Source organism: Homo sapiens, chromosome 15 (assembly GCF_000001405.40).
Source record: "Homo sapiens chromosome 15, GRCh38.p14 Primary Assembly".
In the NCBI taxonomy this organism is placed as follows: Eukaryota; Metazoa; Chordata; class Mammalia; order Primates; family Hominidae; genus Homo; species Homo sapiens.
Genome location: NC_000015.10, coordinates 34,192,607 through 34,209,295, shown reverse-complemented (window position 1 = coordinate 34,209,295; position 16,689 = coordinate 34,192,607). Strand labels below are relative to the sequence as shown.

Here is a 16,689-nt window from a genome sequence, read left to right as displayed (position 1 = left end):
TTGCTGATTTAAAAAAAATTGTAAGAGAAATTAGGTGTGTAATAATCATCAGTTCAGCACTTGCGAGAATTATGAGAAACTAGTCCACCTAATAGCTTAAATCTGCTGGGTTTTTTGGAGTTTCTTTGGATAGCCAGCTTCAGACTTGAATTGAAACGTCATCCATTGAGGCTTTTACTTGGCTAATAACTAATATTAGCCAATAATAATATTAGCCAGTGTGATCATAATGATGGGCAATATTTATTTTGTGCTTTCTATGCGCTGGGCGTATTAAGAGCTTTACTTTGGGATATATACTGTTGTCCCCATTTTGACAGTGAAGAAACTAAGGCACAGGAAATTTTAGTATTGTAACTTTTGTACCGTACAGGGTTACACAGCTAATATAATTAACACCCGAGCAGGCTGGCTCCACGCTTTTAACTCTGTTGCTCTACTACCTCCTTTATCTGTGGCTCTTTTTAGTTTACAAAGCCCTTTCATTTCATTTACTTAAACTTCGGAGACCTGAGTGTGCTTTTGTGTACACATACATTCATTCACACACCATTCATTCAAGTTTTCTGCTCTTGATGATTATACTTAAGGTTTGTGCCTGAGCAAAAAATCCATTGACTATTTTAAGATAAATGGAGTTCATAAGCTTTATGTGTGTTATAATTTATGTTTTCAATTCCTTTATATCCTTTCCTGAAAGTTTTGAAAGTGTTAGTCTTAGCAACTTATGTATTACTTTAAAATAAAAAATTACATGTTAAATGTTTTCATCCCTAAAACTTATTGAGTGGTTATTCTGTACTTGAAATGGTTATACTTAAACTAATACCTCCTTGACAAGGAATAAATTTCAAAAGCAAAATCACTTAGTAAGAAATCAGCAGTTTATACTTATCTATAGCAGAGCTTTTAAATGTCATTCATCAGTTACAAAGCTTTCGATTGCCTGTATGCCCAACAGGGTGGTAGACCCAATTGGCTATACAAAAGAAATGTGCCGCAAGAATGACACTATGGACTTTGGGGACTTGGTAGAAAGAGAGTGGGAGGGGGATGAAGGATAGAAGACTACACATTGGATACAGTGTTCACTGCTCAGGTAATGGGTGCACCAGAATCTCGGAAATCACCCCTGAAGAACTGATTCATGTAACCAAACACCACTTGTTCCCCAAAAACCTATTGAAATAAAAAATAATAAAAATAAAATAAAAAATGTGCCAGGACAACCAACCTTAGGGAGATTAATCTAGTTTGGGTTATGAGATTAACAACAAAAAATATATATGACACTCTTCGTTAGTACAGTGGATGAATGCAGAACTGAACTGGGTAAAGCTTCTGCGAAAAACTAACAATTGCAGGATTTATGTAGGGCACTGAACAGAAGGGTGGATGGTGGGGCTAGGCAGGGTTGGTAATCCCAACACTTTGGGAGGCCAAGACAGGAGGATCTCTGGAAGCCAGGAGTTCGAGAGCAGCCTAGGCAACATAGCGAGACCATATCTCTACAAAAAATTTAAAATATTTTGCCAGGCATGGTGGCATGTGTCTGTAGTCCCAGCTACTTGGGAGGCTGGGGTGGGAAGATCGCTTAAGCCCAAGAGGTCAAGGCTACAGTGAGCCGAGATTGTGCCACTGCACTTCAGTGCAGCCACAGAACTGGTGTGGCTCACACCTGTAATCCCAGCACTTTGGGAGGCCAACGGTAGGAGGAAAGCTTGAGCCCAGAAGTTTGAGACCAGCCTGGGCAACATACCAAGACTCCATCTCTACAAAACATTTTAAAATTAGGGCCAGTGGGTCATGCCTGTAATCCTAGCACTTTGGGAGGCTGAGGCAGGTGGATCACAAGGTCAGGAGATCGAGACCATCCTGGCTAACACGATGAAACCCTGTCTCTACTTAAAATACAAAAAATTAGCTGGGCGTGGTGTCACACGCCTGTAGTTCCAGCTACTTGGGAGGCTGAGGCAGGAGAATCGGTTGAACCCAGGAGGCAGAGGTTGCAGTGAGCCGAGATCGCACCACTGCCTTCCAGCCTGGGCGACAGAGTGAGACTCCATCTCAAAAATAAAATAAAATAAAATTAGGCAGGTGTAGTGGCATGCGCCTGTAGTCACAGCTGCTTGGGAGGCTGAGGTGAGAGGATTCCTTGAGTCCAGAAGTTGGAGGCTGCAGTGAGCCATGATCATATCACTGCACTCCAGCCTGGGTGACAAAGCAAGACCCTGTCTCAGGGAAAAAAAAAAAAAAAAGTATTGTCTAGTAACAACAAGATGCATCATAACATTACACTAGTCAGTATTATGTTGATGTTTTATCAATCATTATATTTGTTGATCCATGTTAGTTAATTTGGTGCTTTCTGGAAAATGTATTTAGGAATATAATGTTTTTTAATTAAACACCTTAAACCTAATACAAATGGTACTTTTACTGGGAGCATACACTTTTTAAATTGGAAGGGTGTAATTTGACTTTTCTTTTCTTTTTTTTTTTTTGAGACGGAGTCTTGCTCTTGTCTCCCAGGCTGGAGTACAGTGGCAAGATCTTGACTCACCACAACCTCCACCTCCCGGGTTCAAGCTATTCTCCTGCCTCAGCCTCCTGAGTAGCTGGGATTACAAGCACCCACCACCACGCCCGGGTAATTTTTGTATTTTTAGTTGAGACGGGGTTTCGCCATGTCGGCCAGGCTGGTCTTGAACTCCTGACCCAGGTGATCCGCCCACCTCGGCCTCCCAAAGTGCTGGGATTACAGGCGTGAGCCACCATGCCCGGCGTAATTTGACTTTTCTTTGCCAGGTTCAAATGCTGTGTTTACTATTTCTTGCTCATCTAAGTATTTTTTCACTACCAGCTTAATACCCCTTAACTTTGGAGACTTCTGCGTTATATTTACCATTCTTGTTCTTGGAGCATAATGAGGGTAGAAATGAGAGAAAAGGTATTTTGAAAGGACTCCCTTTTTTGCTTCCTGTAACTACCTCTCTCTCCTTCAGTTTTATATACTGTCTGAAATTCTTTTTGCCTTGAGCAAGTCACCCAGAAACCTACCACCTATGTATGAGTCATGAGATGCTCATTCTAGCATCTCCTCTGCCCACTAGCATACTCTTAAGATGCACAGCTTGGTGTTACAGTGGGAAAGGCACTATTACTGTAAGTCGCAACGCTAAGCCTGTTAGTAACTAAGGGTTTTTGGGCAAGTGATTTAATCTCATCTGAAATTATCTCCAAGGTCGAGAATCTATAAAATAGTTACTTATTGAGGGGTGTTCTTTGGTGAGGAGGGAGACCTGTGGGGAAGAGGCCTCTGGATAGTCTTTTACATCTTAGTGTGATTAATCATAGATTATTTCTCCTAAAGGCATTTTTAAAAGCTACTTATATGATAGGATTGAGGAAGAAATCTTAGGATGGAATTTAAAGGCCAGTAGAATATAAGCTTCAGTACAGCAGGGATTTTTGTTTGGTCCACTGATGTTTCCCTAGTGCGTAGAATAGTAATTAGTCTGTAACATGTACTTAATATTTGTTGAACGAGTGAAGAAATGAAGGAATGGGTTGCTGGGGAAAGATAAAATTTGTTGGAGTACTGCGCAGATGCTCTGAGTATCTTGAAGGAATTCAAAATGCAAACCAACCAGAGTACAACCCATCATTCCTACAATGTAAAAATACCTCCCAGCAGTAGCAAAGTGTCTATTGTTCACTTAATCGCCTTTCAGAACTATTAAGCGATTACTGCCCTGGCTGCCCCTCTTACTCACAGAGTAAGATTTTGACCATCACCACATACTTAAGTGCCAGCTTGACATTTCAGTATGCATTTTACTCTTACTTTCAAAAACCTATGTCCTAGCCATTCCCTGTGCTACACTTAATATAATCAATAACAGGACATTTACTGTTGTAGCAAAAATGAATTATATATATTGATTAAAATTTGGCCTTTCATCCATGGAGGATTCATGGCATAGCATTTAAAAACTGGCACTCTTCAGGCACAGTGGCTCATGCCTGTAATCCCAGCACTTTGGGAGGCCTACGTGGGCGGTTCACAAGGTCGAGAGATCGAGACCATCCTGGTCAACACAGTGAAACCCCGTCTTTACTAAAATACAAAAAATTAGTTGGGTGTGGTGGTGCACACCTGTAGCCCCAGCTACTCAGGAGGCTGAGGCAGGGGAGTCACTTGAACCCGGGAGGCGGAGGTTGCAGTGAGCCGATATTGCACCACTGCACTCCGGCCTGGCAACAGAGCGAGACTCCATCTTAAAGGAAAAAAAAAAAAAAAAAACTGTCCCTCTTTGCCTTCCTGTTCCACAACTGCCATATAAATAATCGTCAAGAATAGTTTTTTCACATATAATTCGTATACAAAGTTTCTCAGTAAGTCTATTTTGTCTACAAGATAAAGTCCAAATTCCTGACCTAGCATTCAGGGACTTCTGCATTTTAGCCAACTACCTTTTTATTCTTTTCCCTTACAGTGGCCTGTACTCAATAATTACTTAATTATTGAATAGTTGGTATAGAAAATAAGGAAACAAAAAGCAGTTATTCTTGCCTACAAAGTATGTTTCCAGTTGAAGAAAGTCTGGCAGATGGTTTTTCAAGAAGCCTGTATGGGTGGCATTCATTGTTTGAGTGAATTATCCATTTAGTGAAAAATAGCATTAGAGACAAGAATTCCTTAAAACTCCATGTAAACAGTTTTTTTGATCCTTGTTGACAGACCTGTTGGAAACTAGGTAATACAGTCTACCCTCAGCATCCATGGGTTCTCTGTATGGAAGCCATGAATACGGAAGGCTGACTAGGGGACATGAGTATCCACGAATTTTGGTATCTGAGGTGGTCCTGGAACCAGCCGTACTCAGATACTGAGGGACAACTGTAATAAGAAAAGAATTAAATATGTATATCTAGTGACATCAGTTTACATTGCAAGTAACCACTTAGTGGGACTGACTGAATCATTCTGTGCCCACAGCATTGCTTGAACAGTTCATCAGTCTGGATGGACTAGGTGATTTTGTAGTAACAAACAGCACCCAAATCTCAGTGGCTTATTTCAGAGGTTTATTTTTCCTCAGTTCATGTTACACATGAGCTGTCTGGGCCTGTGCTCCTAGTTTTCCTTGCTTAGCAATGTGGACAGGGGAGTCTTAACTTTCTGGCCTGTTGTTGGTTACCTGTTGATGGTTAGAGGTAAGGTAATGGGAGTGAATCACACACACTGGCTCTTTTTTTTTTTTTTTTTTAATTAAGTTCTGAGGTACGTGTGCAGAATGTGCTCTTTGTTACATAGGTATACACATACCATGGTGGTTTGCTGTACCCATTAACCCGTCATCTACATTAGGTGTTTCTCCTAATGCTATCCCTCCCCTAGCCCCCCACCCCCCAACAGGGCCCGGTGTGTGATGTTCCCCTCCCTGTATCCATGTGTTCTCATTGTTCAACTCCCACTTATGAGTGAGAACATGCAGTGTTTGGTTTTCTGTCCTTGAGTTAGTTGCAGTGAGCTGAGATCGTGCTACTGCACTCCAGCCTGGAGACAGAGCAAGACTCCATCTCAAAAAAAGAAAAAATAGATACCAGAATAAGTGTATCTATTCTAGGTACAATGAACATGGTTCCTGCTCTCATGGAGCTCACAGTCTAGTGAGAGGTCATGGGCAATAAGTGCATAAGCTAATTTCCAGATGGTGATAAATGTGGTGGGGGAAAAATACAGGGTACTGCTATAGAGAATGATTGTAAGTGAGGGTGGGGTTATTCTTGATTGGGTGGTGAGTGTGTGGGAGGAATATTTTAAGCAGAAAGAATGGCTCAGCCACAAAATGGAAATAAGTTTGAAATGTTGAAGGACAGAAGGCCAGTGTGGCTGAAGCATTTAGGAAGCTATTATATAGTCTAAAGGAGTTGGTGGTTTGGTCTAGAATGGTGGTAATGGAAATGGAAAGAAACGGACAGCTTGGGAATATATTATAAAGGCAAAGTCAACAAATTGGATGTAGGTTATTAAGGAAAAAAGAAATCAAGGATGAATCCTTTATTTCAGGCTTGAGAAATTGGAAGGAGGATGGTTCCGTTTACTGAGTTAGGGACTGTTGGGAGGAGCAGATTTGAGAGGGGGGATATTAAGGGTTCTATTTTTAATATGTTAAGTTCAAGAATAGATGACTATTGGATATCCATGTGGAGCTGGCTAGTAGGCAGTTGGAGATTTGAATCCAGAGTTTAGGTGAAACAGTATGATGAGAGATTTTATTTATTTATTTTTATTTTTTTTGAGACAGAGTCTTGCTGTCGCCCAGGCTGGAGTGCAATGGCGTGATCTTGGCTTACTGCAACCTCCGCCTTCCGGGCTCAAGCAATTCTTCTGCCTCAGCCTCCCCAGTGGCTGGGATTACAGGTGCCTGCCACCATGCCCAGCTAATTTTTGTATTTTTAGTAGAGATGGGTTTTCACCGTATTAGCCAGGCTGGTCTCGAACTCCGGACCTCAGGCAATCCGCCCACCTAGGCCTCCCAAAGTGCTGAGATTACAGGCGTGAACCACCGCGCCTGGCCGAGATTTTATTCTTAAATGAAAGTTAATATGTTAATTTTTGTTATAGTTAAGTCTTGGACACAGGAGTCATATTTTCTTGAGCCTGCAAGTGATTCTTCTGTTGGAGAAGAAAGTGTTCCCTGAGAGAGGAGGCATTTTCAAACCTTAATATACGTTCTGATTTCAGCCTAGGAGATATGGTGGTGCCCAACCACTGTAACTGTTGGGGATGTAATATAATCCTCACAAGTTTTGGAACATAAAGGTTTAAGAACCGTTGTTATAAAAAGATTTTGAATGTCTCTAGTATCATTTTTGTTAATTCTTAAAGGATGATCTACCCTTTTTTCCAAGGCTTAGGGTATACTTAACCCTGTTGACTTCTGGTACTGTAGAAATTAGGCACAAGTGTCGTAGGGTGGTGACATTAGTCCAAATAATGAAGATAGAGTTTTTTAATTAATTTATATTAGCTCATCATTTTGAGAGTTGAATACTACTTTATTGGTATATCCTCTCATATGTAGAGAGTCTATTGGTTTTGAAAGTATCAGAAATACCTTTAGTAGGCAAACAAGGGTCAAAAATGATCCTTAAAGTGACAATGTTTTATGTATGTATACATTCATCCCTCATTATCTATGGGCGATTGGTTCCAGGACCTCCCAATGATATCACAATCCGAGGATGCTCAAATCCCTGATATAAAGTGGTGTAGTATTTCCACATAACCTTTGCACATCCTCCCATACACCTTAAATAATTTCTAAATTATTTGTAATATCTAGTACAATGTAAATGCTATGTAAATAGTTGTTATACTGTATTATTGGGGGAATAGTGATGAGAAAAATAAGTCTACATATTCAGTAGAGATGTATTTTTTTTCTAAATAGTTTTGATTGGGAATTGATTGAATCCACAGATGCTGAACCCACGGATACAGAGGGCCAGTTGTATATATATTTTCCATTTCTGAGTCCAAGAAGACAATTAAAACAGAATCAAGTATTTTTTCCTCCCTGTTGAATATTTCCAGAAAATACTGGGTTATTCTAACAGGGAAAGTAAATTGGAATTTGGCGAATTCACCAAAACATGCTAGAATAATCATAACCATCTACTTCTAGGCGTAAGAAGTCCTAAGTCTTCCCAAAGATTCAGGTGTTTTATAGCCATTTAAGAAAATATGTATATAATACTCTAATACATTATAATTAAGTTAAAACATACTTGCACATTATACAAAATTCAAAAGGCCCAAAAGGGAAAAGTCTTCTCCCTTCACCCCCTAGCCACACATATCCTCTCACTAGAAGTGACTTTTGTCCCCAGTTTCTCTCATATCCTTCAAAAGATATTTAGTGAATATACAAGTAGTCCCTCACAGACACACACTTTTTAACCTAAGTGGTAACATAGTGTTTTGCTACCTTACTTTTTTCTCCCTACTTTCCAGTATAAGGCATAGTTATGTTTTTTAAAAAGCCTGTGTAGGTCCACAACTATGGATGGTGATAAACATCTACCTAGTTCTTTAATTTTATTTTCCCATTATTAGTCCCAGTTCCCTAATGTAGTAATCTAAGTGGACTTGATTAAAACTGAGGAAGAGGCCGGGTGTGGTGGCTCAAGCCTGTAATCCCAGCACTTTGGGAGGCCGAGGAGGGCAGATCACGAGGTCAGGAGATCGAGACCATTCTGGCCAACATGGTGAAACCCTGTCTTTACTAAAATACAAAAAATTAGCCAGGTGTGGTGGTGTGCACCTGTAATCCCAGCTACTTGGGAGGCTGAGGCAGGGGAATCGCTTGAACCTGGGAGGCAGAGGTTGCAGTGAGCTGAGATGGCGCCACTGCACTCCAGCCTGGCGACAGAGCAAGACGCTGTCTCAAAAAACAAAACAAAACAAAACAAAAACACTGAGGAAGAGGTAGTAGGAAAGCTAATTCCCACTTGGCATCTCTTTTGTAATTTTTATTTCAGGGTATCTCAGTCATAAGAGAGTTGGAATTCAGTTTGATCCAAATTGATTGAAATGATATAGTATTGTACCCACTGAATCTCCAGACATCTGTCTTTATTTTCATGCTTGATCTGCTTTCCCGAGTTTGACGTTATTTCTCAAATCAGCTTACTGTGGAAAACTGAATTAAGAGAAAGTGGTGGGCGGGGCGTGGTGGCTCACGCCTGTAATCCCAGCATTTTGGGAGGCTGAGGCAGGTGGATCAAGAGGTCAGGCGTTCGAGACCAGCCTGGCCAATATGGTGAAACCCCATCTCTACTAAAAATACAAAAAAAAAAAACAATTAGCTGGGCGTGGTGGCACGCACCTGTAATCCCAGCTACTCAGGAGGCTGAGGCACGAGAATCTCTTGAATGCGGGAGGCGAAGGTTGCAGTGAGCCGAGATGGCGCCACTGCACTCCAGCCTGGGAGACAGAGGAAGACTCCATCTCAAAAAAAAAAGAAGAGAGAGAGAGAAAGTGGTGTGATGAATCATCATTCAGGAAATATTAAACCCTTGAGATATCAACTTTGAGTTGTTCCGAGTAGGTGAGAGGTGAAGCCAGCTGGGTTTCTGGGTTGGGTGGGGACTTGGAGAACTTTTCTGTCTAGCCAGAGGATTGTAAATGCACCCATCAGTGCTCTGTGTCTAGCTAGAGGATTGTAAATGCACCAATCAGGATTCTGTAAAAATAGACCAGCACTCTGTAAAGTGGACCAATCAGCACTCTGTAAAGTGGACCAATCAGCACTCTGTAAAATGGGCCAATCAGCAGCACATGGGCGGGGTCAAATAAGGGAATAAAAGCTGGCCACCTAGCCCTAGTGGCAACCGGCTCGGGTCATCTTCCACACCGTGGAAACTTTGTTCTTTCCGTACTTTGTTCTTTCCGTCTTCACAATAAATCTTGCTGTTGCTCACTGTTTGGGTCCGCATCACCTTTAAGAGCTGGAACACTTGCCACGAAGGTCCTCCGGCTTCATTCTTGAATTCGGCCAGACTACGAACCCACCGGAAGGAAGAAACTCCGGACACATCGGAAGGAACAAACTCTGGACCACGAACCCACCAGAGGGAAGAAACTCTGGACACACCATTTTTGAGAGCTGTAACAGCGTGAAGGTCCACGACTTCATTCTTGAGGTCAGCAAGACCAAGAACTAACTGGAAGGAGCCAACTCGGGACACATGTGGAATCAGGATGACGGGATTTAGTTTTATGATTTGAATATTTAATAATGTCAGGCTCTGTTAATTTGGTAAATCTATAGTCTGTCATTTTCTGAGATGGGAGTCTTGCCCTGTCATCTAGGCTGGAGTGCAGTGGCACAGTCTAGGCTCATTGCAACCTCCACCTCCCGGGTTCAAGAGATTCTCCTGCCTTAGCCTCCAGAGTAGCTGGGACTCGAGGCTCATGCCACCACACCAGGCTAATTTTTGTATTTTTAGTAGAGACGGGGTTTTGCCATGTTGGCCAGACTGGTCTCAAACCCCTGACCTCGTGATCCGCCCACGTCAGCCTCCCAAAGTGCTGGGATTACAGGCCTGAGCCACTGCGCCTGGCCGGTAAATCTGTTTTCTTAATAGGAATAAACCTAACAAGTATAGTAGACAATACAGGTAACCTGATGGGGTACCCTTTTGCTGGACAGTACATGAGTAGCACTGCCTGTATTTGTCTCTATTTCTCTTTGTTCTTTTTCCAGTGTTCACCTCCTCCCCAGAATCCATGCCCCGTTTAATTGCCACATTCTTTCAAAATGGTAACCTTCAATCAGATTAAATGGGATTAAACGAGTGCAAAACAAAACTAGCAAGGTCAACAGAATGTATCATTGCTGTACCTATATAATAGTTTCTCATATTTTATAAAAAGTACAGTTTAACATTCCATTTACCTTGTTACTTTTTGACTACAAGTCTTTGCTTCCCTTGCCAGTCCCTCTTCCCAGTTCTTGACCAAATACACCTAAAAAAGGAATGTCACATTTATGGAACTGTGTGATCTTTCTTTGAATCTGGTTTAACATTAAACTATGGGTTTTTTGTTGTTGTTCTTTGTGATAAGTTCCACCTGCTATACACTGTTAGCGCAAAGTATTTTTTTGGAACACTTTTGTATTAGTTATGGAAATAAATTTTACACATTGATTAAAATGTAGAGAAACATTCATTGAGATTACTCAGCAAGTCCTGCTGGACTAGAAGCTGTTACTTTCTGTAAAATGACTCTAAATATCTTTGCTTTAAACCACTATCTACTGTTTCATAGTTTAACTCCAAGAGCAGTTTTTGTTTGTTTTCCCTAAGCTCTTAGATAAATCCTCAGGGATATCTCAGTGCTTGACATATTGTATTATAATTGCTTGTTTGTCTATTTCTCCCACTAGAAACTATGGGATGATGGTGAGAATTTCACAGCAGGAAAGATTGGGAAGTTTAAGGATCTGAACAGGAGTTAGGTAGGAAAGTATTACATGCTATGATGTAGCTGTATATACCACCAAAAATTCTACCTTAGAATGGTTTAGGTCACTGAATTTCATAATTTTACAATTATTTCATATTCCTTTACATAAGAATTTGTATGTTGCAAGGCTTAAGAAGCTTTAATTTATCAGTTCCTATTAGCGTATCGTCCTCTTTTTGTGTCAAGAAAAGAAACTCGGCTGGGTGCGGTGGCTCACACTTATAATCCCAGCACTTTGTGTGGGAGGCCGAGGCAGCGAATGGATTACCTGAGGTCAGGAGTTTGAGACCAGCCTGGCTAACATGGTGAAACCCTGTCTCTACTAAAAATAAAAAAATTAGGTGGGTGTGGTGGCGTGTGCCTGTAATCCCAGCTACTAGGGAGGCTGAGGCAGGAGACTCTCTTGAACCTGGGAGGCAGAGGTTGCAGTAAGCCGAGATCATGCCACTGCACTCCAGCCTGGGCAACAGAGCGAGACTCCGTCTCAAAAAAAATAAAATAAACCTCATTCTTTTATTTAAAAGGTAATATTTTTTACTGGTAAAAATTGATAAAAATAAGCCAAAGACAACGATTCAATCTTAATCTCATAGAAAAATAAACAGAAAAAAGGAATGTAATACCACTATTTAGAAATAACCCTTATCCTTTCATTCTTTTCTCTGTGCTACATATGCACATATAGAAACATACAACAAATTTAGGAACTGATATTAAAGTTTGCTAATACCACGAATCATGTTTCTTACACCAAAGGCAACTTGCCTCATAGGTGATGTTTGTGTATAACTTGATAATAGCTAACATTTACGGAGTGATTTACAGACATTGTGGTAAGTGGATTATTTAATCCTCACAGCATTATTCTGAAAATAGGAGATTAGGTAACTTGCCTAAGATGGTACATAACTAATAAATGGTTAAAACAGGACTTAAACCCAGGTAGTCTGACTCTAGGACTTATATTTCTCTGTCACACCATACTGCCTAGTCTTTTCAGTTTAAACGTAAGAAAAATACAACTTCACATTAAATTTTTCAAAAGCAAACTAAAACATGACATTGTTCATCGTTTGTCAGATTTTCAAAGGTAAAAACGTTGACAAGACAGAATCTTGTGTTATCATGGATGCAAATAGTGGTTGTTCTCCACCTCTAGTAGCAGGAGTCTAAGTTGGAAAAACCTTTGTAGAGAGCAGCAGTCTATCTCTGCCACATTTGCCAAGCTTCTTAGTTCCCAATTTAGTGAAGACAGCAATTGGAAATAGGAATTTAAAATATATTGTTTCCATGAAATTAATTGTAATGCTTTGGGTAGTCTGGACAAAGGCAAATGCCTGAAAAACTGTATATCAAATAAGGTGTAGATTAGAAAGCTAAACATAAATGAAGTAAAACTGTAACAGTTTAGGATTTTGTACTGATAATGTATCAAGTTCTTGAGCCACTTTAAGCCCAAACTATAAATTATAGATGATGCATCATACATTATGTTTAGATTTCTTTCTTTCTTTCTTTCTTTTTGAGACGGAGTCTGGTTTTGTTACCCAGGGTGGAGTGCAGTGGTGCAATCTCAGCTCACTGCAGCCTCTGCTTCCTGGGTTCAAGTGATTCTCCTGCATCAGCCTCCCGAGTAGCTGGGATTACAGGTGCCTGCCGCCACGCCTGGCAGGTTTTCGTATTTTTAATAGAGACTGGGTTTCGCCATGTTGGCTAGGTTGGTCTTGAACTCCTGACCTCAAGTGATCCACCCACCTTGGCCTCCTAAAGTGCTGGGATTGACAGGCATGAGGCACCGCGCCCAGTCATTTAAAAATTATTTTATTTTATTTTTGAGACAAAGTCTCGCTCTGTTGCCCAGGCTGGAGTGCAGTCATGCAGTCTCGACTCACTGCAGCCTCCACCTCCCGGGTTCACGCGATTCTCCTGCCTCAGCCTCCCAAGCAGCTGGGATTACAGGCAGGCGCCACCATGCGTGGCTAATTTTTGTATTTTTAGTAGAGATGGGGTTTCACCATGTTGGCCAGGCTGGTCTTGAATTCCTGACCTCAGGTGATCCATCCCACTTGGCCTCCCAAAGTGCTGGGATTACAGGTGTGAGCCACCACGCCTGGCTGATTTTTAGATTTTAAATTGAAATGTTTAAGATACATGTGTAACATCTTTTTTTAATGAATCTTTTTATTTTATTTTTTCTCTGAAGCCAGAATGTGCTTACCCCTTTCCAGTTTTTATTATTTTGAGACACATTTTAGATAAGCATGCACACGTAGTTTAAAAAATCAGACACACATTGATTTCTCATATAGCAAGTAAGGTAAAGATTTATAAATCAAATGTTCATAAATCACAAAGTTACTTTTAGGACCCTAAATTTATTTGCATTTATCATCAATTTCCATGTCGCCATAACTATTTTGTATATTCCACAAAATAGAATTGCTTTTGAGGAATGCAGTGTGGTTTGCAGAATTCCCAATACATAGTCATTTGACAGTTACAATTAAAAAAATTATTTGTGGGTTTTTTGTTTGTTTGTTTTTTGGGTTTTTTTTTTTTTTGAGATGGCGTCTCTCTCTGTTGCCCAGGCTGGAGTGCAGTCATGGGATCTCGGCTCACTGCAACCTCCACCTCCCAGGTTCAAGCAGTTCTCCTGCCTCAGCGTCCTGAGTATCTGGGATTATAGGATACAAGTGCAATTTTGCTACATTGATATATTGCATGTGGTGAAGTCAGGAGGTTCAGTACATGGATCATTAGAGCAACACGCATTTTACCCATCAAGCAAGCTTTCATCATCCACCTTTCTCCCACCCCTACCTCTCTGAGTCTCCATTCTCTATTATTCCACACTGCTTTCATATGTACACATTACTATAAGTGAGGACATGCAGTATTTGTCTTTGTGTCTGAGTTGTTTTACTTGAGATAATGGCCTCCAGTTCCATCTATGTTGCTACAAAAGACATTATTTCATTCTTTTTTAAGGCTGAATAGTATCCCATATTGTATATGTACCACATTTTCTTTATCCAGTCCTCTGTTGATAAGACACGGGTTGATTCCATATCTTTCCTATTATAAATTGGTGCTGCAATAAACATATGAGTGCAGGTGTCTTTTGGATATAATGATTTATTTTCCTTTGGGTAGATACCCAGTAGTGGGATTGCTGGATCATATAGTGGTTCCGTTTTTAGTTCTTTGAGAAATCTCTGTGCTGTTTTCCATAGAGGTTGTACTAATTTACATTCCCACAAATAGTATATGAGTTTGTTTTCTCCACACCCTTGTTATCTGTTACTTTTTGTCTTTTTAATAATAGCCATTCTGATTGGTGTAAGATGATATTTCATTGTAGTTGTAATTTGCATTTCTGTGATTAGTGATATTGAACATTTGTTCACATGCTTCTTGGCCATTTGTCTTCTTTTGAAGAATGTCTATTTGTGTTCTTACCCTGTTTTTTAATGGGATTATTTGGGGGTTTTTGTTCAGTTGTCTGATTGTCTGAGATCCTTATAAATTCTGGATATCGGTCCACTGTCAGATATATAGTTTGTAGATACTGTCTGTTCACTTTGTTGATTCTTTGGTTATGCAGAGGCTTTCCCTTCCCAACCCCACCTCCACACGGTCCTGCTCTGTTTTCTAGGCTGGAGTGCAGTGGCACAATCTCAGCTTAACTGCAGCCTCCACCTCCCAGGCTCAAGCTGTCCTCCCACCTCAGCCTCCCAAGTAGCTGGAACTACAGGCGCGTGCCACCATGCTCATGTAATTTTTAAAGTTTTTTTTTCTTATTTTTTATAGAGACAGGGTCTCAGTATGTTGCCCAGGCTGGCCTCAAACTCATGGGCTCAAGTGCTACTCCCGCCTTGGCCTTTCAAAGTGCTAGAATTACAGGTATGACCCACTGCACCTGGCCCTAAATCATATTTTCAAAAAAAAATCTTTTAACATGTAGGAAAATATAATATTAATGACAAAATGCAGCATATAAAACTAAACTGCAGGCTGGGTGCAGTGGCTCACGCCTATAATCCCACCACTTTGTGAGCCCAAGGCAGGTGGATCATGAGGACAGGAGTTCGAGACCAGCCTGGCCAATATGGAGAAACCCCGTCTCTACTAAAAATACAAAAATAAGCCAGGCATGGTGGCGTGCACCTGTAGTCCCAGCTGCTCGGGAGGCCAAGGCAGAAGAATCGCTTGAAGCCAGGAGGCGGACGTTGTGGTGAGCCGAGATCGTGCCACTGCATTCCAGTCTGGGCAACAGAGCAAGACTCCATCTCAAAAAAATAAAAAACGACAAAGAAAAACTAAACTGCATGGGAGGAAAAGTGGTTGAATTACTGGTGATTTTGCTGGTGATTTTTTTTTTTTTTTTTTTTTTTTTTTTTGAGACAGGGCCTTTCTCTGTCACCCACGCTGGAGTACAGTGGTGCAATTTTGGCTCACTGCAGCCTCAACCTCCTGGGCTCAAGCGACCCTCCTGCCTCAGCGTCCTGAGTAGCTGGGACTACTGGTGTGCACCACTATGCCCGGCTAATTTTTGTATGTTTTGTAGAGACAGGGTTTCACCACGTTGCCCAGGCAGGTCTCAAACTCCTGGGCTCAAGCGACCCAACTGCATTTGTCTCCCAAATTGCTAGGATTACAGGAATGAGTTATCATGCCCAGCCTACTGGTGATATTTTAATTAATTAATTTATTTTTTGAGACAAGAGTCTTGCTCTGTTTCCCAGGCTGGAGTGCAGTGGCGCCATCTCTGTTCACTGCAACCTCCGCATCCCAGGTTCAGGCGATTCTTGTGTCTCAGCCTCCTGAATAGCTGAGATTACAGACGTATGCCACCACGCCTGCCTAATTTTTGTATTTTTAGTAGAGATGGGATTTTGCCATATTGGCCAGGCTGGTTTCAAACTCCTGGCCTCAAGTGATATGCCTGCCTCAGCCTCCCAAAGTGCTGGGATTACAGGCATGATCCACTGCATCTGGCCTTAAGTTTTTTTTTTGTTTTTTTTTTTTTTTTTTTGAGACGGAGTCTCGCTCTGTCGCCCAGGCTGGAGTGCAGTGGCGCGATCTCGGTTCACTGCAAGCTCCGCCTCCCGGGTTGACGCCATTCTCCTGCCTCAGCCTCCCGAGTAGCTGGGACCACAGGCGCCCGCCACTACGCCCGGCTAATTTTTTGTATTTTTAATAGAGGCGGGGTTTCACTGTGTTAGCCAGGATGGTCTCGATCTCCTGACCTCATGATCCGCCCGCCTCTGCCTCCCAAAGTGCTGGGATTACAGGCGTGAGCCACCGCGCCCGGCAAGCCTTAAGTTATTTTTAAAGTAATACTTATGAGATGCAAAATTTGGTATAAAGAGGACATAAAGTAAAAACGTTTAATACTGTTGATCCCCAGCTCCCAGGTTCACCTTTGTGGAAGCATTCAGTGATTGCTGGGGGATATTCTAAAAGGAGAGAGATTATTTTTTCCATATTTATTCCTGATTTTTTCTTCTTCTATGCATCCTTCTCCCTATACCCAAATCCAGGAGTATGGAGTGGGAAGGAGGGACAGCACGTAGTCTTTCTACACACGTCTGTTTTTGTTTCTGTCTCTTCTCCCTCCCCGGACTTTCACATTACTTACTGAA

At 41.3% G+C, this 16,689-nt stretch overlaps 1 protein-coding gene across 9 annotated transcripts in view; it reads left to right on the top strand.

Annotated features, from left to right (window-relative positions):
* KATNBL1 (katanin regulatory subunit B1 like 1) overlaps positions 1–16,689 on the top strand; it is a 69,423-nt gene that overhangs the window by 801 nt on the left and 51,933 nt on the right. Inside the window, exon 2 of one of the 9 annotated variants that reach the window (XM_017022574.2) lies at positions 10,965–11,036. The exons of the other annotated variants lie outside the window; for them this stretch is intronic. The gene's annotated coding sequence lies outside the window, so the exon portion shown is untranslated. The remainder of the gene's footprint in view (positions 1–10,964; positions 11,037–16,689) is intronic. 9 annotated transcript variants of the gene reach the window in all.